General features: G+C 42.6%; 1 protein-coding gene across 21 annotated transcripts in view; it reads right to left on the reverse strand.

The window, feature by feature from the left end:
- Positions 1-365: 365 nt before the first annotated feature.
- ACTR3C (actin related protein 3C) overlaps positions 366-24,121 on the reverse strand; it is a 442,186-nt gene continuing 418,430 nt past the window's right edge. For 8 of the 21 annotated variants that reach the window (NR_147012.2, NR_147015.2, NR_147014.2 and 5 more), the window contains 3 exons: positions 11,280-11,404; positions 10,197-10,307; positions 366-8,011 (listed from right to left, as the gene is read on the reverse strand). Coding sequence is in view for 8 of the 21 variants with exons in the window: in NM_001351028.2 (NP_001337957.1) it covers positions 7,967-8,011; positions 10,197-10,307; positions 11,280-11,404 (281 nt within the window). In the remaining 13 variants the exon portion in view is untranslated. Of the gene's footprint in view, positions 8,012-10,196; positions 10,308-11,279; positions 11,405-24,121 lie in introns of those variants that run through there. The other 13 variants (NR_147016.2, NR_147018.2, NR_147022.2 and 10 more) reach the window with 8 other exon arrangements.

The following is a 24,121-nucleotide window of genomic DNA, read 5'->3' on the forward strand; positions in this document are numbered from 1 at the left end:
TGCAGTGAAGCAGGTCGCCAGAGGCTTCAAAGCCTCCTTCATGAAATAGCCTAGGGCTGGGATCTGCCAGCACATCTCGCTGCAGGTCCAGTGGGGAAGTGGGCAGAGGGAGCCCAGCCCTCCAGCCCAGCCTGTAGCCCAGGGCAGAGCTGAAAGAACTTCCCTGGAGGGACAGGAGGGTGGGGCGGGACTGGAAGACGCACAATGGAGGCACCAGAGCACTGAGGGCGGAAAGCCAGCTGAGGAGCTTGGATGGATCCCAAGGGCCATGGGAGCCGTGAAAGGGATTTAAAGCAGGGCCGTGACATGGCCAACTGGATTTCTAGCATTATCTATCTCTACAAGCTGCACAGTGGACGGCAGGCTGGTTTGACATCTTTATTAGGGCCCCTGGTGGAAGTGGTGAGGACAGAGAAGCGAGGGGGGAGCTGCTTGGCTGTGACCCATAGAGACCGAGGCTGCCCGTGGTGGGGAGTGCAGCAGGGGCAGGTCTGAGAGTGGCTGTGGGAGCTGAGGTGTTCCTTTGTTTCCTGGTGAGTCGTGTGTGTCCAGGGCACCCCGTGGAAGTGTAGGTAGTGGCTGGCTGGGCGGTGGGGCGGATGGTCAGGAGGAAGATGAGGCTGCAGGAGGCAGAGTTGGAGCCATCGGCATAAATAACCGGTGATCCCTGAGGGGTGCAGGTTGCTCAGGGGGTTCAGAGTGAGAAAAACCCAGAAGAGAACCCCAAGGAGTGTGAGTTCACGGGGTGGGTGGGTGAAGGTGGCCTGTGGAGGATGCCGGGAGGTTGCAGGTAGCCGGAAGACAACCAGGTGAGTGTCACTCAGGAGGATGAGAGGTTCAACAGGAGAGAGTGGTTGAGGTAACACAGACCCCCATTGTCCTCTACCCCCAAGAAGTCAAGGTCAGCTGGCATCTTTGGTGATGGGCAGTAAAGTCAGACTGCAGTGGGCTGGGAGCGAGTGGGCAGGTGGGGGGTGAGAAACACAGTGACCTCAGGATGGGGACCCCGTGGACCCAGTGAAGCTGGACCTGGAAAGACCAAAGGGAGCTAAACAAGGAGGGACCTACTGGGCCCATTTTCCCATGTCGCTGTGGGTCAGCCCTGGGCCTGGGGGAACCACTCTGCCAGTTCCTGCCGCTGCACCTCTGAAGCCACACCCAGCCCGCCACAGGCCCACCATGGGGGCTTCAGGTTCAGGATGCTGAAGATCCACGTTGGCCCAGGATTGGGGTGGGGGGCATGTATCCAAAATGGCTACTTCCTTGTCTCGGCTTCTGCTCTTTGGGTTCTTGCCTTCTGTGATATTGGATTGGTGGCATCTTTAGACACTCTCCCGGGATGTGTGTGGCTGTGGCTGAATTCTCACTGAGCCCCCTGGGTGGCATCCTCTGGGCCTGGGAGGTGGAGTCCTGGAGAGCTGCTCGCTGCTCTCTGGGCAGCCTCTGGACTGCTGAGGGCTGGTAGCTCCTTCCCAGGCAGGGTGGCCTTTCTCACATCTTCCATCCTTCCTTCCTGTGCAGCCATTCCGGGAGAGAGGAGAGGGTCCCAGAGCTCATGTCCACTCCACTCCCTGGCACGATCTGGTCTCCCACCCTTTGGTGAGGACCGTGTTCCTCCCAGAGGCTTTCCCTCCAGGCCCGAGGTGGGAACCTGCAGGGTAAGTAGGTCTGTCAAAGATAAACTAAGCTGGACCTTAGTTAAAGCTACGAAAACAGACCTTATTCATTAACCACTGACAGGGGAGAAGCTGAGCTCCATTCAGATCTGTGCAGGGGGACTGGACAGTTTAATGGGAGAACGTAGGAGTCGGGAAAGGGCATTCCAGGGCTCAGGAATCATGGGAGTGAAAAATTACAAAGGGCTGTCTGTGTTATTGTGGCCGGGCCAGCTGTGTGTGCCAGCTGGCAGTGATGGAAGTTAGGTTCTGGCCTCCCCCAGAGCCTGGGAGACAGGCCCCATCCTTCCTGATGATGCCATTTCAAAGGACTGGCTCTCAGGCTCTTGAGAAAGACACTCCTGGACACACATGCATGTACATCTCAAAGGGACAAGGGAAGGAGGTACGACTCTAAGTGTTTTTAACGTAAATGCTCTAAGAAAGTGAGGGGGTGGTCAGAGGCCTGTTGTCAGGTGTTGGTAGGAACAAACACTAAATGATTTTGACGGCCTTGAGCTTTTTCAGACAGGAACTCAAAGGGTGGCCAGGTGGTCCCAGGGATGCCGCTTTGGGCTGCCAGAAGCCATGCTAGGGTTGGTCCAGTCTCTTGGTGCAGGGGTTTGGACACAGTCACTATGTACCCAACTTCTGTTAGAGTTATCAGTTTCAAACCCCACCCGTGCCCCCAACACCATCCCCAATGTGGGAGGCACATCAGTAAATATCAGCCTCTGACACAGATGCTCACGGACCTACACGATGCAAAAAAGCTCTAAAAATGGGCCGTGACTGAGAGCAGGGCAGCCCTGAACCATACCAAGTGGCAGAGCAGGAAGTGGCCTTGGAGGCCACGCTGAGACAGAGGACAAAGCCACTGAGAAAAAAAAGTAAAGGTAACCAAGAAAAGTTAAGCTGCACACAAAGAGTATGGCCAACAGAGGGCAGCGCCTGCGTGCAGGATGAAGTCTCTAGCGAGCCCTCGTCCAATCTGCGCATTGCTGGGGGTGGATGGTGCCGAGGTCAGAGATGGTGGCCCTAGAGTCATAGGCTTGAGCAGGGAGCCACGATAATTCTCCAGACAGTACCACAGCCTGGAGGAAACGCCCTTCAGGAATATTTCATAGTGGCAATGAATGACGAGCATTGAGCCATCATGAGGTGCCAGGCACTGCTTCGGAAACCAAAGGACCATGCTGAAGAGCTCTGTCGTTCTCCACTCTGATCCCAGGCTTCCCGAACCGTCTTCTGGTTCTGTCTTCCCGAACTGTTTCGTACCTCAGCATCCCTGAGAGATCTAGCACATTCCATTCTGTAACAGGGACGCCACAGGTTTTTAGTGGAGGGAGGGAGGGAGGGAGGTGCTGCTCCTGCTGGCCATAGGGTCCACGCTCCCTGCAGAAGCCCTCAAAGAGCAGCCCTCAGTTAATTTTGGCTGCTTTGAACAGAAATAGGATAGTTGGTAATTCTGGAACAGTGAGGAGCTGGAGGTGAAGTGAGAGGCGTGGCTAATCTCCTTATCTGTGTGCTGGAAGTGACCTGCTGGTAAAGCTTTGGGCTTCCGGGAATGAAATCAGCTGGCAGGCACCACAGTTTTGCTTGACTTGTAGCACTGGAAGATGAGGGCAGATGACCAGAGTCCTGTGTGGATTTAGGCCACATACTGGGTTAGCAAATCTAAATACGAATCTCTCATTGGGGAAATGTTGGTCAAAAGATAGAGAATTTCAGTTAGACAAGAGGAATAAGTCCAAGAGACCTAGTGTGCAGCCCATGGTGACAAAGTGCTCAACAGTGTGTTGTATGCTGGAAATTGATGAGAGTAGATTTCACAAAATGAAAAGTGAGGTAATGCATTTGTTATTAGCTCAATTTAGCCATTTCACAATGTATACACATTTCCAAACATGGTATATACCTACATGTATGCAATTTTTGTCAACTTAAAAAAAAAAAAGGAATCACTTAAGCCAAACAAAACAACCCATGGAATTCTGGGATGGAAGCCATGTCTATTACAAGAGAACCTCCAGGGATGAAGGAGGCTGGGGCTTTAGCCAGCTCTCCAGCTGCCTCTGCCCCAGGCAGACCCACACAGGGCCAGAGTTTGGGAATCATGCGCCGGGTGCAGCCTGCAGTGCTACTTGTCAATGTGGAGTATGGTCTACCTGTAACAGAATAATCTGGAATGCTTGAAAGTACAGGTTCCTGGGTCTCACACTGCACCCTATGGGTTTAGGGGATTCTAGACTCCACATTTTAAACCAGCTCCCAAGGGTTTTGGTGCTAACTGAAGCCCTCGAAGACAGGATGTCCAAGCCCTGACACTGTTGACAATTTGGGCTAGATAATTCTTTGGGTTTTTTTGTGGGGGAGGGGGAGCACGGGAGGGCACTGTTCTTTGCATCCTATGATGCTTAGCAGTACCGCCTCCCTTTACCCACCAGATGCTAGCAGAACCCCTCTCCCTGCTCCTGGCCATGACAACTATAAATGTCTCCAGCCATTTTGAAATGTTCCCTAGGGAAACACCCCTACCATTGAAACCACTGCCCTAGAACCTCAACCCCTCAAGGGATTTCCAAACTTAGTTATCAACCCAGACCCTCGGGAAAGGAGCCTGGGAGGCCCTGAGGGGAGCCGAGTGCCTTCAGCTGGCTTCCCCAGCAGGACTGGAGCTTCTGACCAGGAGACCACACCCCAGCAAGAAGTAAGCCCCCAAGCCGCCAGGGACTTCCAGGTATCAGAGCAGGCACTGATCCCAGCATGAGCTGGTCCCTCTGCGAGCTGGTGCTTCCCAGGAGGCCGGGGGCAGGGAGCTCCGGCACTGCCCCGAGCCCAGTGGAACTTTGTGTTCTCCCCGCAGGCGGCTTCCTGAGCAGGGTGGGCGGACACAGTTGGGATGGATGTTCTCACCCCTACAGGACCTCCGCCTTGGCTCCCTAACCTCAGGATTAAGGGCCATGATAGCAGCAAGGGTCTTCCTCCCTCCTGAAATGTCAGCATTTTGTCCTCTGACAAAGACCTGGGACACACTGGGGTGGTGACTTCATCTTCCCATTCTGTGTCCCACACAGCAGGAGCCCCAGGCTCTGAATTCCTGCGGATTCTGCAGCTTCAGTCAGCTGTGATGCCAGGTGCAAAGGCCTGGCCCTTGGCCGGCAGCAATTGATTCAGCAAACATATTTCTCTTTTTTCTCTCTACCCAGACTCCCAGAAGCAGTTTAACTTTACTTAGCAGCTCAGCTCAGCTTGGAGGTTGAGAGTGCAGAGTCTACAACTGGATCAAATTCCAGCTCTGATGATGATTAGTTGAGTGAAAGTGACTTAATCTTTCTGAGCTTCATTTTTATTGATGAATCAGGATAATATTAGTAGCACCTGCCTCATAGAAGTTGTGCATATGAACTGAGATAATGGACTAAAGTGCTCAACTGGTCGATAAATGCTATTAATTTCATTATATTTACATATTAACTATTTAATTCCATGCCACATTTTATTCTGCCAGGATCTCAGCTTCCTTCCCCTTTTCTGTTCCTGTCATGGTCACCACACTGATGCACTTTGCGGAAGAGAAGGTGGCAAGTGCCCTGTGTGCTTTTATATGTGAGACAGGACCTGACAAATAAGTACTATGAAAAATACCTGGGGCCTGCTTATGTATCTGCATTTTTGTGTTTCCTGTCGAATGTCTTTAATGTATAAATGTAGCATCTTCTCAGTAAAAACACAAATGCTTTTGGAGGACGGGGGGAGGAAGCAGATACTAGAATTGGCATGCTGTTTCTAAAGCCCTCTGGGAAAAACAAACATGTAAGAAATAACCAAGATATTCCTGGAAAAGCAGAGTATTGAGAGGGACACTGGCACTCCAGATACTAAAAAGTCTAAGATAAAGATACCATTTGCAAGGCTACAGAAATGCAAACAGTGGGGCTGGCACATGAACACACAGACGACTCAAGGGGAGAAAATAAGTCCAGAAATAAATTTACAATCAGGAATTAAGAATATGATAAACAGCCAGACACAGTTTCTCACACCTGTAATCCTAGCATTTTGGGAAGCCAAGGCGGGCGGATCCCTTGAGCCCAGGAGTTCGAGACCAGGCTGGGCGTCATAGTGAAACCCTGTCTCCACTAAAAATACAAAAAGTAGTCGAGTGTGTGTAGAGGTGTGAGCCTGTAGTCCCAGCTACTCAGGAAGGCGAGGTAGGGGAAATACTTGAGCCCAGGAGGTTGAGGCTACAGTGAGCAGAGATTGTGCTCCTGCATTCTGGCCTGGGCGACAGAGCGAGACTGACTCAAAAAAAAAAAAAAAATGAATATGATAAACATAGCAAACCAAATACATAAGGAAGAGATGAGTAGGGCAATGAACAGTGTCCAGAGTCCCAGCAGCAAAACACATACAAAATGGAAAGAAACTATAAATGTACTAGAAAAAAATTGGAGAATTTTTAAAATTATCATGTAATAGGGAAGGTCTATCTCAGGGGAAGAAAGAAAAAAAGAAATCCAGAGGCTATGAAGATAAAACTTTATACATTTAACTAAGTTAAAATTTACATTTTCTTCAAGGCAAAAACCATACAAGTAGATAAATGAGCAAATGACACAAAAGAATTCACAGAAGAAGACATGTAAAAGACTTTTGAGCATGAAGAGATGCTTAGTCAAGGAAAGCAAATTCAAACAGCAATGTAACCTCCTTATTACCTTATTAACCTGCTTATTACAGAGAGCGAGACTGTGATAACAGACTGTAGGTCTGTGCTGCCTGCTGCAGTGCATCTCCCCATGCTCTTGGTGCTCCCATACACGCCAGGCGCCTTCCAGGTGCCAGCACTGGCTTCCTTCCTGGGCAGCAGGCTGGACGTACCATCAGGAGTTGGTATATAAACTGGCTCCCAGAGCTGCCCATAGTGTCGCTGGCTTGCACATGTCCTGGATGGCCTACTGGGCCCAGAAAAGGTGAAATGTGAGGAGCACACTAATCACAAAATGACCCGAGCCAAGTCGAGCCAATCCTGGGCTAGACTGGCCAAACCCCATGATATGATTTGGCTGTGCCCCCACCCAAATCTCAACTTGAATTGTATCTCCCAGAATTCCCCTGTGTTGTGGGAGGGACCAGGGGAGGTAATTGAATCATGGGGGCTGGTCTTTCCCATGCTATTCTTGTGATAGTGAATACGTCTCAAGAGATCTGTTGGATTTATCAGGGATTTCTGCTTTTGCTTCTTCATTTTTCTCTTGCCGCTGCCATGTAAGAAGTGCCTTTTGCCTCCTGCCATGATTCTGAGACCTCCTCAACCTTGTGGAACTGTAAGACCAATTAAATCTTTTTTTTTCCCCCCAGTTTCAGGTGTGTCTTTATCACCAGTGTGAAAACAGACTAATACAGGCCAGCTGATGCAGACATACTAGCCAAAATTAAATGCCTGTTGTTATAAGTCAGTTTTAGGGTGTTTTGTCATGCAGCATTATTGCGGCACACCTGACTGATACAATACTGTTACATACAGATCTAGTTCATTAGTGACATACACTTTCTTTGTCCACCCCCCTATTAATGACCCCTGTGTTACTTCCAGATTAACAAATAGTAAGCATCTTTTATATGTCTTTGTGCACATTTGCTGGAACTTCTCTAGGATATATATCTAGGAGTCAAAGAGCTTTTAATATTACAAGAGATTGCCAAATTTCTCTCCAAAATGATTGTTTCAATTTACACTCAACCAACCTTGTGGCATGAGCCACAGCACCTGGATGGTAGTTGGTTTTAACTTGCATTTCCCTAATAGCTGCTAAGCTTGACTCTTCACCTGTTTATTGGACATTTCGGTTTCCACTTCTCTAATTTGCCTACTCAAATCATTGGCTTGCTTTTCTATGACTTTTTTTGGTCTTTTCCCTATTGATTTATAGAAGTTCTTTATATATTCTTGGCTACAAGTTCCCCTAATCCTAGTGAATCTAGTGCCAGGAACAGGGAAGGAAGGAGGAAGTGGGGAGAGAGGGCAAGATCAGACAGCCTCATTTCTCCTTCTGCTCTTCAAAACCATTGTTGCTGGGCGTGGTGGCTCACACCTGTAATCCCAGCACTTTGGGAGGCCAAGGCGGGTGGATCACCTGAGGTCAGGAGTTCGAGAACAGTCTGGCCAACGTGGTGAAACCCCGTCTCTACTAAAAATACAAAAAGTAGCCGGACGTGGTGGTGAGCGCCTGTAATCCCAGCTACTTGGGAGGCTGAGGCAGGAGAATCGCTTGAACCTGGGAGGCGGAGGTTGCAGTGAGCTGAGATCACGCCACTGCACTCCAGCCTGGGCGACAAGAGTGAAACTCCACCTGAAAAAAAAATAAAAAATAATAAAAAGAAATTAAAAAAAAACCATTGTTAAAAAAATGAAAAGCAAACCACAAACTGGAAGAAACTATTTGTAAAGCATATATCTGTCAAGACTTGTATCTTGAATATATAAAGAACTCATACTTAAACAACATGACAAACCTAAGTTTTAAAAGTGGGCAAATTTGAACTCTTACTTCACAAAAGAAGAACTGCAGCCCTACCTTAGATCATGCACAGAAACAAATTTCAGGAAGGTCAAAGACCTAACCCCAAAGAGCAAAATGTCAAAGTGTTTAAAGTAAATCATAAGAAAATGACTTCCTGACATCAGAAAAGGGAAAAATTTTCTAAATCAGGCTGGGAAAAGATCGCTGTGGTACATATTTATGAAAGATTGGCATCCAGATTATATAAACAACACTGACAAATTAATCTAAAAAATACAGTTGAAAAATTGGCATGTATATTCCCAGCAACTCACAAGGAGGGAAACTTGAGAGGCCAGTCAGTAGGTGAAAAATATACTTAGCCCCATTAGTAATCAGGGAAATGTACATTAAAGTCACAATGAGACATTTCATACTCATCAGATGGGCAAGTTATGTCTGCCAGCACAAAAGGCTGGAGAGGATGGGGGAAATGTAAGTAGGGGTGCAAATGGAGGCAACCCCACCCCATCTCCACAAAAAATTTTTAAAAATTAGCCAGGCTAGTGGCTTCTACCTGTGGTCCGAGCTACTCAGGAGGTTGAAGCGGGAGGATCAACTGAGTCCAGAGTCCGAGGCTGCAGTGAGCTAGGATTGTGCCACAGAACTCTAACCTGGACAACAGAGCAAGATCCCATTTCTAGAAAAATAAAATACAGAGCAAAACAGTAAAATAAAATAAACCACTGTGGATGTACAGAGAAAACAGAGTGGCCTGTGAAACGCAGTGGCCATACTTGGCAATTTCAGCTGTGAAGACACAGCCAGGGAAAAAAAATCAAAGACTGGCTTTAATATACATTAAATACATATATTCGTTATAGAGTTATTCCATATTTAATAGTTATTCCAATAACTATTAGCCTTATAGTTCAAATATTTCTTATACCAGATAATTCTTAAAAACACTTCATATCCTAACATCAGAAAGAATTTTATAATTGGATCTGGGACCATTTGACAATGTACTTGCATGAAAAAAAATCCAAACCTAAATTATGCAGGTTTAATACGCAGCTTACGTCACATGAAACTGCCCTCTATAAAGCAAGCATTCTGTACATATAATTAATTTTAACTTGATGAAAAGAGCATCTCACGGAAGAAAACATGTAATGTTGAGTAGAACCACTAGAGAACGAGGAGATATTTCTTCTCATTTATCTGTGATGTTTCATTTCATTTGAATGAAATCAGTTAAGTATATAATTAGGGCCCATAACTCAGTTCAGTTTTATTTTACAGTAACATTTAAACCCTAGAAAAAAACAACATCTTGACCTGGTTTCCTCTGCTATAAGTGGCAATAATTACAATCATCTTGCTATGTCTCAAGAAAACTAAAGTAGGCAGTTGGTTTATCCAAATCCATTCCTCCTTCTATTGTCCTTGCTTTTGGAGGCCTGTTTAGCTACTTACCCTCCTCCAGGGTCCAGAACATCAGACAAGTTCTCCTGGTCCCCACACCAAGGAGAAAGTCTTCAAGAATCTAAACCAGTCACAGTAAATCCATTCCTATTGCTCTAACCAGGTTAGGCATAGGCAGATGGGGCAAATGTGCTGGGAAGGTTTCTGGGAAAGGGTCTCTAAATTCTTAAAAAGTGCAAGGGAAATCTTCTATCTCTGTATAGAAATGTCCAAAGAGGTGATCTAGGAATTTGGCAGCCACCCTGGACCCAGGGGGAACAAACAGAAGAGCTCCAGCTAGTGCCCTAGGCTGCATGTGCAATTCCATCACTGAGCTGCTAAAACAACAGCCCTAGAGCTGCCTCACTTGGGCTTCCTGTTTGGTGAGCTAACAAGCCCCTTTTTGTTCTGAACGTTTTTATTGAGCTTTATTTTCAAAAAAGCAGCCTGATTCATGCACATATCTTTAGAAGAAATTTAAAACGCCCTAGAAAAGAATATCTTCAGTTTAAAATCTAAGCAATTTGGAATTTACAGGAATATATTCCTCTTAGTTCCAGTTACTCACCATTAAAAAATAATGGTCCTCAGGTTCAGCTCGAAGATATTTAAAAACCACTTGCTCCATGAACCTTTCCATAAGATCCCAGTCTTCAATGATTCCATGTCGTATCGGCCACTGGAGGAAGAGACACCAGAGTTGTCAAGCCTCAGTTCGCAACAATAAGAGCAACAGTTTAACAGTGGCACAGAAGAAACTGTATTATTAAGAATAAAGGTCTCCTTCTCATTGCAGTTGTTGTTAATTCTTGTAAAGAAACAACAGCATTTGGAAAAAAAAGATTAAGTTACATTATTGTTCATATTCTCCTCCACTCATTTCCACAAACAAAGAATCACCTTAACAATGACACGGAGGCAGGCCAGGCACAGTGGCTCACGCCTCTAATCCAACGCTTTGGGAGGCCAAGGCAGGAGGCTCACCCGAGCCCAGGAGTTCGAGACCAGCCTGGGCAACATAGCAAGACACTGTCTCTACAAAAAATTAAAAAATCAGCCAGGCATGGTGGTGCGTGCCTGTAGTCCCACCTACTTGGGAAGTTGAGGTGAGAGGATTGCTTGAGCTCAGGAGGTCGAGGCTGCAGTGAGCCAAGACGGCATCACAGCACTCCAGCCTGGATGACAGAGTAAGACCTATCTCTAAAAAAACAACAAAAAATACAATGAGGAACCGATAGAAAACTGCAGCTAATTATCATACAATTGGATCTGGAGCTTTAAAAAAAAAAAAGTCTGCTTAAATAACGTTAGTGTTTCTTTTTAATTAACCAATCTGCAATTTTCCCTCATCTGACAGGTTAGTCAACCTGTCAACAATTTTCCAGGGGAGGGGATCTTGCTTTCATGTGTGACCTGGTGTTTCCTGAGTCTATTCTGCATTCCAGGGATCTGTTAATTCCCTTAATTCTCCAATCAAAAATACCCCCATTCAAAACCAACCATCACCACCACCTCTATTCAAACATAAGAATTCAAACATAAGAATAGAAACACATTCTACAACTCGCAAATACAACTTCTAGATGACCATTTTGCATTACTCATCCTACTGCTCTACACTTAGAGAAGCAGACACCTGTCGGAAATTTACCTTTGTAGCATATGTAGGTTTATCGATGGCTTCATCTCCTATGAAAAAGTCAAGGTCATCAACTCCCCTCAACACTCTCCTTTGGGCTTGGTCAACTACCTTTGCTGACTCTCTGATGGCAATACCTTAAAAAAACACACACACACACAGATTTCTATCACTATCCATATCTATTTAAATGATCAAAAGGGATAATATCCTAATATACACACAAGTAAATTTTCATTGTTAGGGCTCCATGTGGGGTGAAGGGTGCTCACAGAAAAGACAATGTCAATGAGTACATAAAATAATACAGAAACAGGTTATTCTATTCTGGTATGATTTTCAGAATGGGACAAAGGAAATGAGCTGCTCTACTTTTATACTGACAGAAGGTCCATTGCAAAATTTCTCAGTTTTATCTGGAAAAATCCCTCAAGATAGTAAGTGAAATGCCTATACATCAGTAGGTTCCAAATTTAAAATACAATATGGAAGGGGACAAAATTCTGTACAATACAGAAAAGGAGAGTAAACTGAAAAATAATGTCTATAATAAGACTCTACATCACATAGCCTTAAAATGTACTTTTAGTCTTGTTACAGGAAGAAAAAAAGCCGTTAAAATTTATCCCATTAAAAGGATAAATTAGAATGTTATTGGTTAATATCTGTAGCCAAAAAAAGTACCATAATCAAATAACTATTACATAAAAATTCCAAATATTAATGGCTTTATAATTCATTATTTTAATAAGATCTTAACCTTAAATATTTGGGAATATACTTAGCAGTAAATAATCATATCAAACTTCACTCCAGAATTTAACAGCTAATGAAATGTGGAGGGCATCACAAAGATTCCATTTTCCATTCAAATTTCTAACTCCTGCTCACACTCTCGAGCTCTCCCATGAGCTATTTTCATCCATCAGGTCTCGACATCAACACCATCTCCTCACTTGAGGGCTTCCTTGACAACCTGCAGTTCTGTACACGTGTTTGATGCTTCCACTGGCCCTTTTATTCCTGCATTAAGGCATTTTTCTGGATGAATTACAATTGTTTAAGATCAGTCTACCAAACTGTAGATTCCTTGATGTCAGATAACATCCATCTTTTACTGTCTCTCCAGTGGGAGGCTCAGATGTCAATAACTAATAATAATAATAAAAGTTTACATTTATTGAACACTCTGCTAAGTGTTTCCTTTTGCACACTATTTTATTAAATCCTCACAATAGCTTATGAGACAGGTACTATTATCTGCATTTCACAGAAATGGAAGCTTAACAATCTATCAAGGTCACACAGCTTCTAAGACACAGACAGGATTTGCACCTAAGCAGGCCGCTGGCTATCAGAATAGACATTAGAGAAATATTTGTTAAATTAACATTTTACTCCACTAAAATATTTATTGTGGGTTTGAAAAATGGTCAAACTATACCTAAATAATTCTAACATAAACCTAATTCCATAAATATACTAATGGCTTCTCACTGTCCTTAATGTATTTCTGATGAAAGTACGACTCTGTAGCTATACAAATGTAAGTGCTAGATAAAATTTCTCTGAATCAAAATCTTTGTGACTTACTACACAAAGTGATGTACAGAGTCAGTACAGTCCTTATCAAAATACCAATGGCATCCTTCACAGAAATAGAAAAAATAATCCTAAGTTCACATGGAACCACAAGAGACCCCAAACAGTCAAGGGAATCTTAAGCAAAAAGAAGAAAGCTGGAGGGATCACACTACCTGACTTCAAAGTACACTATAAAGCTACAGTAATCAAAACAGCTTGGTACTGGTATAAAAACAGACATATAAACCAGTGGAACAAAGAGCCCAGAAATGAATCCATGTATTTACACTCAACTGATTTTACACAACGGGCAAAGTGTAAATGTTACTGGGGAAACTGGATATCCACATGCAGAAGAATGAAAATGAATGCTTATCTCTCAACCATATACAAAAATTAACTCAAAATGGATTAAAGACTTCAATGTAAGACCTGAAACTGTGGAACTATTAGAAGAAAACGGTAAAATGCTTTATGACATTGGTCTGGGCAAGGATTTTTTTGGACAAGACCTCAAGAGCACAGGTAACAAAAATAGATAACTGGAATTACATCAAACTAAAAGTCTTCTGCACAGCAAAGAAAACAATCAACAGAGTGAAGAGACAATCTATAGAATGGGAGAAACTATTTGCAAACTATCTACCTGACAAAAGATTAATAATCAAAATATATAAAGAACTCAAACAGCAATAAAAAAAACAAATAACCCAAGTGAAAAATGAGCAAGAGACCTGAATGGACATTTCTCAAAAGAAGACATACAAATGGCCAACAGGTATATGAAAAAATGCTCAATATCACTAATCATCGGGGAAATGCAAATCAAACCCACAATATCAATCACCTCACCCCACTGAGAATGGCAATTATCAAAAAAGCAAAAGATAATAAGTGTTGGTGATGGTGTGACAAAAAGAGAACCTTTATACACTATAGGTGGGAATGCAAATCAGTAGAGCCATTATGGAAAACAGTATAGAGGCTCCTCAAACAATTAAAAATAGAACTACCATACGATCCAACAATCCCACTACTGGGCATATATCCAAAGGAAATGAAATCAGTATGTTAAAGAGCTATCTGCACTCCCATGTTTACTGTAGCACTATTCACAATAACCAAGATCTGGAATCAACCTACGTGTCCATTAACGGATGAACAGATAAAGAAAATGTGGCTTTATAAACAGTGGAATACTATTCAGCCATTTAAAAAAAAAAAGGAAATTCTGCCATCTGCCCACAACATGGATGAACCTCGAGGGCATTATGTTAAGTAAAATAAGCCAGGCACAGAAAGACAAATATCACATGGTCTCATTCATATGCAGGATCTTAAAAAGTTGATCTCATAGAGGTAGGCTATAGAATGGTGGTTACAGGGGGCTGAGGCTGTTCGGGGATGGGAAGGACAAGATGTTGGTCAAAAAATACGTAACTACAGTTAGATAGGAGAAATAAATTACAAGAGATCTAGCATACAACGAGGAGACAACGGTTAATGACGATATATTGCATTCTTAAAAAATGTAGAGTACATGTTATGTGCTCTCACCACAAAAATGATGACTATATGAGGTAATGCATTTGTTAATTAGCTAGATTTAACCATTCACAATGTATATAGACTTCAAAACATCATATTATACACGATAAAAACACACAATGTTATCTGTCAATTTAAAAAAATAAAATCAGAGCCAGCTGTGGTGGCTCATGGCTCATGCATGTAATCCCAGAGACTCACGAGGCTAAGGCAGGAGGATAGCTTGAGCTCAGGAGTTTCAGAACAGCCTGGGAAACATAGCAAGACCCCATCTCTAAAAAAGCTAAAAAATTAGCCAGGCACAATGGCACACATGCCTGTAGTCCTAGCTACTTGGAAGGATCACTTGAGCCCAGGAGGTTGAGGCTGCAATGAGCTATGATAGCCCCACTGCACTCCAGCCTGAGCAACAGAGTGAGACCCTATATCAAAAAAGTTTAAATTTTTAAAAACTGTTTTTAATTAAAAAAATTTTTAAAATCCTTGTGACTGAATTTCAGGAGAGAGTAAATAATGTTTCTAGGCCAGGCACAGTGGCTCACACCTGTAATCCCAGCACTTTGGGTGGTCGAGACAGGCAGATTGCTTAAGTCTGGGAGTTTGAGACCAGTCTGGGCAACATGGTGAAAACCTGTCTCTACAAAAAAAAAAAAAAAAAAAAAACACAAAAACTAGCCGGGAGTCCCAACTACTTGGGAGCCTGAGACAAGGGGATTGGGAAATTGAGGCTGCAGTGAGCCATGATCACGCCACCACACTCCAGCCTGGGTAACAGAACAAGACCCAGTCACAGACAAAACAAACAAAGAAAAAACAGTTTCTGATATGAACTAATTTCTTCAAACAGTCCAGCCAAGTTAATTTTTCTGCACAGCTACTACATGAATGAGCACACAGACTCTGAAGTTATGAAAACCTAGGTTTGAGCACTTACTAGTTAGCTGACTTGAGGAAAGTTATTATTAACCCTCAGTGCTCTCTCCTCCAAAATGCATATACCACTACCTATCAGGGTGGTGAGTATTAAATGGAACAATGTTTACAAAGTGTTTAGCAGAGACTGTGGTAGAGAATAGTACTCAATAAACAATATTATCTATACTAAATTGGAGACCAAATTTGTGACTGGCGGAACTGAACAGGTACCCAGATACAACCATTCCAGAGAAGAACTGAGAAAAATATTATAATATGTTTATCCAGCAATTCCACTTCTAGAATTTCATTCTAAAGAAATAATCATTGAGTAAATAAAAGTATATACATAACAACACTCTTTGTAGAACTAATTATAATAGCAACAAATTGAAGGAGGAAAGTTAACTGACCTGAAATCAGAGATCAGGTAAATAAATTATATCAAATCCTTAGAAAGAGCTGCTAAGGCTGGGCGCGGTGGCTCACGCCTGTAATCCCAGCACTTTAGGAGGTCGAGGCGGGTAGATCACCTGAGGTCAGGAGTTCAAGACCAGCCTGACCAACATGGTGAAACCTCATCTCTCCTTAAAAATACAAAAATTAGCCAGGCATGGGGGCAGGCACCTATAATCCCAGCTACTTGGGAGGCTGAGGCAGGAGAATCACTTGAACTTGGGAGGTGGAGGTTGCAGTGAGCTGAGATCGCGCCACTGCACTCCAGCCTGGGTGACAGAGCAAGACACCGTCTCCAAAAAAAAAAAAAAAAAAAAACAAGAGCTACTAAGTTGCCTTTCAGAATATCCACAGTATGACTCCACTTCAGACAGAGTTTGCACGGGTGTGTTTAATGTAAATTCAGAAAAATAAGATGGCCAGACAAAGGATTAATACTGGTTAACCATGGATGGTAGAGCTACTGGTGACTTTTGCTGCTTCTACTGGGTATATTGGTTTTTCAGCTATTAAAAAGAAGCTAAACAAACATAATAAAAGTAAAAGCTAATCTTTGGTTTGTGAGCGAAAGCATTTAACCTGTTACCTCTCAAAATCATTTACCTTTAATGCCTCATTTCCAAATGAAAAGTTTTCAAGGTAAGTCAGGCTATAGAATTTTCTCAAACAGAGAGCTATTAAGCTAGCTAGAAATTTATATTAAAATTTGTTCCAAGACAAATTAGTAAACATATACAATTATTTCTAAAAGTAGATTATCTGGAACCTCCAATTTACTACAAATGAAGAATAACAACACAGCTATAAGAGTGAATTTGAGGCCAGGAGCAGTGGCTCACGCCTGTAATCCCAGCACTGTGGGAGGCCAAGGTGGGCAGATCACCTGAGGTCAAGAATTCAAGACCACCCTGGCCAACATGGTGAAACCCCATCTGTTCTTAAAATAAAATAAAAAATACAAAAATTAGCTGGGCGTGGTGGCCCATGCCTGTAATCCCAGCTACTCAGGAGGCTGAGGCAGGAGAATTGCTTGAACTCAGGTGGCAGGGGTTGCAGTGAGCTGAGATCATGCCACTGCACTCCAGCCTGGGTGACAAAGTGAGACTCCATCTCAAAAAAAAAATAAAAAAGAGTGAAACTGAAGCCTTTTTCTCAGAAGGGCATCTTGAGGTAACAGGATAAAAAGGTGAAAAGAAAAAGACACAGGGCAGAAATCACTTTCCCCACCTCCTTTTCTCATTGCAACTCACTGCCACATTTAAAGTCTCAAAGATATCAAATTATAAACAGTGGCACACAAGTAAAGGACAGAACTTCAGCAGAACTGAAGAAAGCACGAGTGAAGTGGAAACACGGGCTGAAATGAGAAGTGAAGAGGACATTGGAGATCTTGGGCTGAACATGGGCTAGAAAAGTCTTGTGGGCCACGACGACTGAGGTGATCTGTAGAAATAGATAACATCCATCTCTGACCACACCATTCAATGGCACACTGACTGACACCACACAGAACCATCTGATGTACAAGTCTGGTATTCCAAAGGGCCACTGCCAATGTGCCAACACAAGTGACAGATACTATCCTCTAGGCAAGATCAAACTTAATTGTGTGTGAATCCAGAATTAAACTGTCAAGTCAATATAAAAGATTGTAAAGATAGCCGGGCGCAGTGGCTCACGCCTGTAATCCCAACACTGTGGGAGGCTGAGGTGGGCAGATCACAAGGTCAAGAGATCGAGACCATCCTGGCCAACATGATGAAACCACAACTCTACTAAAAATACAAAAATTAGCTGGGCATGGTGGTGCGCACCTGTAGTCCCAGCTACTCAGGAGGCTGAGTGAGACAGGAGAATTGCTTGAACCCAGGAGGTGGAGGTTGCAGTGAGCCGAGATCACGCCACTGCACTCCAGCCTGGCAACAGAGCAAGACTCTGTGTAAAAAAAAATAATAATCAAAAAGAATAAAAATAAAAATAAATTAAAACACATCACACACACACACAAAGTATACTTCTTTTAACAACTATACAGGAAGCAACTGTATCCATACAAGAGAATAAAAGTATATAGAGCTTATATTCCAAATATTTTGTCTATACCTATGGAACAAGATGTGGCCCAAACAGTTCTTATGAACACAATGGAGAAATCTGTCTAAATAATCTATGTCACCCAAGCTATCTCTAGTACAGCACAACATACCACAGTCCCCACTTCCACCCCGGCCCAGCAGTAACATGGAGCTCCTCCCCAAGTGAGTGTCAACAAAGGCCAAAAGGAGAACCTCAACTTTGACCCCCACACTGGCAATAATGAAGTGGTATCCCCATTCCCCTGCTGGAGTAGTGTCAGAAAAGACTTGCTAAAACACAAAATTAAAATAAGAACCTCATAACATAATACCCAAAGTATCTAGGTTTCCACTTTAAAACTCTCACCGTGGCAAAAACCAGTAACATCTCAACTGAAAAGAGAAAAGACAATGAATAGACAATGCCACCGAGATAACACAGACATTATAATTATCAAACAAGGATTTTAGGAGCCATCACAAAATGCCTCAATGAGCAATCTCAAATACTCTTGACTCTTGAAACAAATGGAAAATAAAAGGAAGTCTCAGCAAGCAAATACAAAGCCACAGCAAAGAAACAAGATATAAAGACAAAACCATATGGAAATTCTAGAATTAAAAATCACAATAACTGAAATAAAAATCTTAAGAGATGGCCTCAACAGAAGAAAAGGACAGAGGAAAGAAACACTGAACTTGAAGACAGAATAACAGACATTACCCAGTCCAAACAAAAGACAGAAAATAGACTGGAAGAAGTAAAAAAAAAAAACAGAGCCCAGAGCCTCAGGGACATCTGGGATATATAAGAAAAGATTTAGCATTTGTGGATTACAATTCCCAGAAGGAAAAGAGAAAGAAGGCAGGACCAGAAGGTATGCAAAGAAACAATGGCTAAAACTGCCAAATTTGGCAAGAAAAAAAAAAGGGAAGAGAAAAAGAAATAAACTAATAGATTCAATACTGAACAAACCCCAAATAAGTTAACCCGAAACAAAACAAAACAAAAAAAATCCATTCCAAAACACATTATACTCAAACTTCTAAAAACTAAAGACCAAAAAAAAAAAAAAATTCAGCTTCCAAGGACATTTCTCATCAGAAATCTTGACACACACACACCAAAAAAAAAGGTACCACAACATTTTTGTGCTGAAAGAACTGTCCATCCAGAATTCTATGTTCAGCAAAAATATCCCCTGAGAATAGAGCAAATCAAGACTTTCCGTTGAAATAAAACTAACACAATTTGTCAACAGCACACCTACTTCAAAAGAATGGCTTGGGATGTTCAGGCAGTCCATTATTTTTGTTGTTGTTGTTTTTGTTTTTGTTTTTTTGGTTTGTTTTTGAGATGGAGTATCGCTCTGTCACCCAGGCTGGAGTGCAGTGGCGCGATCTCAGCTCACTGCAACCTCCACCTCCCGGGTTTAAGCGATTCTCCTGCCTCAGCCTCCCGAAATAGCTGGGACTACAGGTGCACGCCACCACGCCCAGCTAATTTTTGTATTTTTAGTAGAGACAGGGTTTCACCATGTTGGCCAGGATGGTCTCAATCTCTTGACCTCATGACCCGCCTGCCTCTGCCTCCCAAAGTGCTGAGATTACAGGCATAAGCCACCGTGCCCTGCCTATGTTTCTTTAATTAAGAATAAATAAATAAATATTAAAAAGAATGGCTAAAGGAAGTTCTCTAAAGAGAAAAGAAATGATAAAAGAAGGAATTTGGGTACATCAAGAAAAAAGAAAGAACAATGGAAAGATCAAAAATATGGATCATAATTATTTTCCTTTTCCTCTTGCGTTTTCTAAATTATGTCTGGCAGTTGAAGCAAAAATTATAACTGATGTGAATCTCATGAGATTCAATGTATATCAAGGAAAGATTTAAGACAATTATATTAGAAATGGGGGGCCAGGCACAGTGGCTCACACCTGTAATCCCAGCACTTTGGAAGGCCGAGGCAGGTGGATCACTTGAGGAGTTTGAGACCAGCCTGGCCAACATGGTGAAAACCCATCTCTACTAAAAATACAAAAATTAGCCGGGCGTGGTGGTGGGCACCTGTAATCCCAGCTACTCAGGAGGCTGAGGCAGGAGAATCGCTTGAACTCAGAAGGCAGAGGTCACAGTAAGCCGACATCACACCACTGCACTCCAGCCTGGGCAACAAAGCGAGATTCTGTCTCAAAAAAAGGCACACACTGTATGAGTAGTAGCATTACTGCTGAGTAGTATTTAGTGTATGATGTAGCACCGTCAGTTTAAATATTAATCTATTGAAGAACATATATTATGCAGATGATAAAATTATAGAGATGAAAACAGAGTAGTGGTTAAGAACAGTGGAGGGAGAGGAGTAAGTGTAATTATATAGGAATAGCACCAGAGAGATCTTGGTAGTGAGAAAATAATTCTGTAACTTTATTACAGTGGTAGTTCAAGGAATCTACAGGTAGAATTACAATGACATAGAACTATACACACACATTGTACCAACATCCGTTTCCTGGGGCTGGTCTGTTTTTGTTTTTATTTTTTAGAGACAGGGTCTCACTTCTGGTTATAACATTGCACTACAATTTGTAAGATGTAACCTTTGGGGGCAAAATAGGAAAAGTGTACACAGGATCTCTCTAAACTATCTTTGCAACTTCCTATTAATCTATAATTATTTCAAAATAAAATATTTTAAATACAGAGTTTATAAATGACTTAAACTAGAAAATAAAACACTTCAGCTATAATGATGAATCAAAACTAATAAGATTAAACTTAATAATAAAGAACAATGGGCCGGCACAGTGGCTCACGCCTGTAATCACTTTGACAGACTGAGGCAGGTGGATAGCTTGAGGCCAGGAGTTCAAGACTAGACTGGGCAACACAGTGAAACCCTGTCTCTATTAAAATTACAAAAATCAGCCAGGCATGGTGGCACATGTCGGTAATCCCAGCTACTTGGGAGGCTGAGGCAGAATTGCTTGAACCCAGGAGGTGAAGGTTGCAGTGAGCCAAGATCGTGCCACTGTACTCCAGCCTGGGCGACAGAGCAAGACTCTGTCTCAAAAAAAAAAAAAAAAAAAAAAAAAAAAAAGAACAATTCTTTTTTCCAACAAGCTCTGCAGTTGAAAAAAAATGTGTTTGGGTATAGGATTATAGGATGTGGGTAACCAGAAAAGACATGACTACTTTCCTAAATGCCAAAAAAGTCATCTGAGGGCAATCTAAGGAAGGTTATCAAGAAGAGTGTATCTAAGGACTTAAGACACAGATACTTTAGAACATTTGCTACAACAGTTGAGAGACACAACAATAGTAATTTTTTTAATCCAGTATATTTCTCAAAAGACTGTTAGATATTTTTACTAAAGCTTGAAGGAATAAACAATTCCTATCTTATGCAAACTGTTCCAGAGAATAAAAAAAGAAAGCTAACAAACTCATTTTATGAAGCCCATATAATCCTGATACACAACCAGACAAAAACAAGAAATCAAAATTACAGTCCAATCTCACTTTTGAATATTGATGCAAAGTTCTCAAGTAAATATTTGCAATTACAGTTCAGCATGTACTTCATATTTCATAGCCAAGTAGGATTTATCCCAAAAATGAAATAATTGTTCAAGCTGGACAAGGTGGCTCATTCCTGTAATCCCAGTGCTCTGGGAGGCTGAGGCAGGAGGATCACTTGAGGCCAGGAGTTTGAGACCAGCCTGGGCAACAAGAGAGACCCCCATCTCTACAAGAAGAAAAAAAAGAAAAGAAATAACTGTTCAATATTTGAAAATGTATTAAAGTAACTCCTCCTATTAAGAGTAGGTGGGGTGGCTCACACCTATAATTTCAACACTTTGAGAGACCAAGGTGGGAGGATTGCATGAGCCCACAAGTTCGAGACCAGGACAGGCAATATAATGAGACCCCATCTCTATGAAAAATTTAAAAATTAGCCAGACATGATGGCTCCCACGTGTGGTCCCAGCTACTTGGGAGGCTGAGGTGGGAGGATCTCTTGAACCTGGAAAGTCAAGGCTGCAGTGAGTCATGATCAAGCCACTACACTCCAGCCTTAAAGTACAGTGTCTCAAAAAAAAAAAAAAAAAGAAAGAAAGAGTACAAATGTCCAAAACCATATGATCATCTCAATAACAGAAAAGCTTTGACTAAATGTCAATACTCACTGTCATTCATGATTTTTTTAATTAAAAAAAACCCTCAGATTAAACTAGGAATAGAAGAGCACTGTTTTAATCTGAAAAAGCATCTCCACAAAAACCTACAGTTATCACTAGTAGAGTACTATAATAAAATCCCATTCTCTTTAAAGTCAGAAAGTCAAAAAAGCACCTGCTGTCTGCAGTTCTGATCACTATTTTAATAGAAGTTCTAGCCAACACAGCAAGACCAAGAAAAGAAACACGAAGTGTTAGAATTGGAAGAGACAAAATAACCACTATTTGAAGGCAATACAATAGTCTGCATAGAAAACTTTAAAGAATGTGCAGACTGTTAAATAAGAGAGGTCAATAAAGGTTGCCGGATTAAAAAAAAATCTTACAAACCTCAGTAACATTCCCATATGCTGGCAATAATGAATTAGAAAATAGAATTTTTTAAATATTTTGACGACAGCAACGAAAACTTAAAGGTACCTAAAAATAAAGCTAGCAAAAACTATGGAAGAGTTGTCTTGGGGTTTTGCTTGTTTTTGAGACAAAGTCTCACTATGTCACCCAGGCAGGAGTGTAGTGGCGCAATCACAACTCACTCCAGCCTCGATCTCCTGGGCTCAAGCAATCATCCCACCTCAGCCTCCCGAGTAGCTGGGACCACAGGTGAGTGTCACTACACGTAGCTAATTTATTTTTATTTCTGGTAGAGACAGGGTCTCACTATGTTGCCAAGGCTGGTCTCAAACTCCTGGGCTCAAGCAATCCTCCCACCTCGGCCTACCAAAGTGCTGCAATTACAGGTGTGAGCCACTGTGTCCAGCCCTCTGTGTACGAGTGTAAGGGCGTTGTTGTTGTTGTTGTTGTTGTTGTTTGTTGTTGCTGGTTGTTGTTGTTGTTGTTGTTGTTGTTGTTGTTTTGAGACAGCGTCTGGTTCTGCTGCCCAGGCTGGAGTGCGGTGACGCAATCTCAGCTCACTGCAACCTCCACTCCCAGGCTCAAGCAATTCTCATGCCTCAGCCTTCCAAGTAGCTGGGATTACAGGTGTGAGCCACCACATCCGGCTAATTTTTGTATTTTTTAGTAGAGACAAGGTTTCACCATGTTGGTTGGGCTGGTCTCTAACTCGTGGCCTCAAGTGATCCACCCACCTTAGCCCTCCCAAAATGCTGGAATTACAGGTGTGAACCACTGCGCCTGGCCTGTAAGAGCTTTTTAAAGAATACTTTAAGGCCAGGCGCAGTGGCTCACTCCTGTAATCCCAGCACGCTGGGGAGCTGAGGTGGGTGAATCACAAGGTCAGGAGTTCAAGACCAGCCTGGCCAACATAGTGAAATCCCGTCTCTACTAAAAATACAAAAATTAGCTGAGCATGGTGGCGTGCACCTGTAGTCCCAACTACTCGGGAGGCTGAGGGCAGGAGAATCGCTTGAACCCGGGAGGCAGAGGTTGCAGTGAGCTGAGACTGTGCCACTGCACTCCAGCCTGGGCAACAGAGCAAGACTCCATCTCAAAAAACAACAACAACAACAAAAAAAACTTTAGAACATTAGAACACTACTGAAAAACACAAGAGACATGAATAAACAATAAAACACATATACCATCTTCAAGGATAGGAATACTCAATTCGTATCCACGAAAGTCAAATTTGATGTCAAATTTTTTCCCAATTAATCTATAAATAATAATCAAGGGCGGGCACAGTGGCTCACACCTGTAATTCCAGCACTTTGGGAGGCCAAGGCAGGAGGATCATGAGGTCAGGAGTTCCAGACCAGCCTGGCCAACATGGTGAAACCCCATCTCTACTAAAAATACAAAAATTAGCTGGATGTCTCTACTAAAAATACAAAAATTAGCTGGACGTGGTGGTGGGCGCCTGTAATTCCAGCTACTCGGGAGGCTGAGGCAGGAGAATCATTTGAACCTGGGAGGCGGAGGTTGCAATGAGCCGAGATCATGCCATTGCACTCCAGCCTGGGCAACAAGAGCGAAACTCCATCTCAAAAAAATAAAAATAAAAATAAAAATAATAATAATAATCAAAACCCCATTATAATTTTCATGGAACTTAAGCTGATTCTAAAATGAACA

The sequence above is a fragment of the Homo sapiens genome, chromosome 7 (assembly GCF_000001405.40).
Source record: "Homo sapiens chromosome 7, GRCh38.p14 Primary Assembly".
Lineage (NCBI taxonomy): Eukaryota > Metazoa > Chordata > Mammalia > Primates > Hominidae > Homo > Homo sapiens.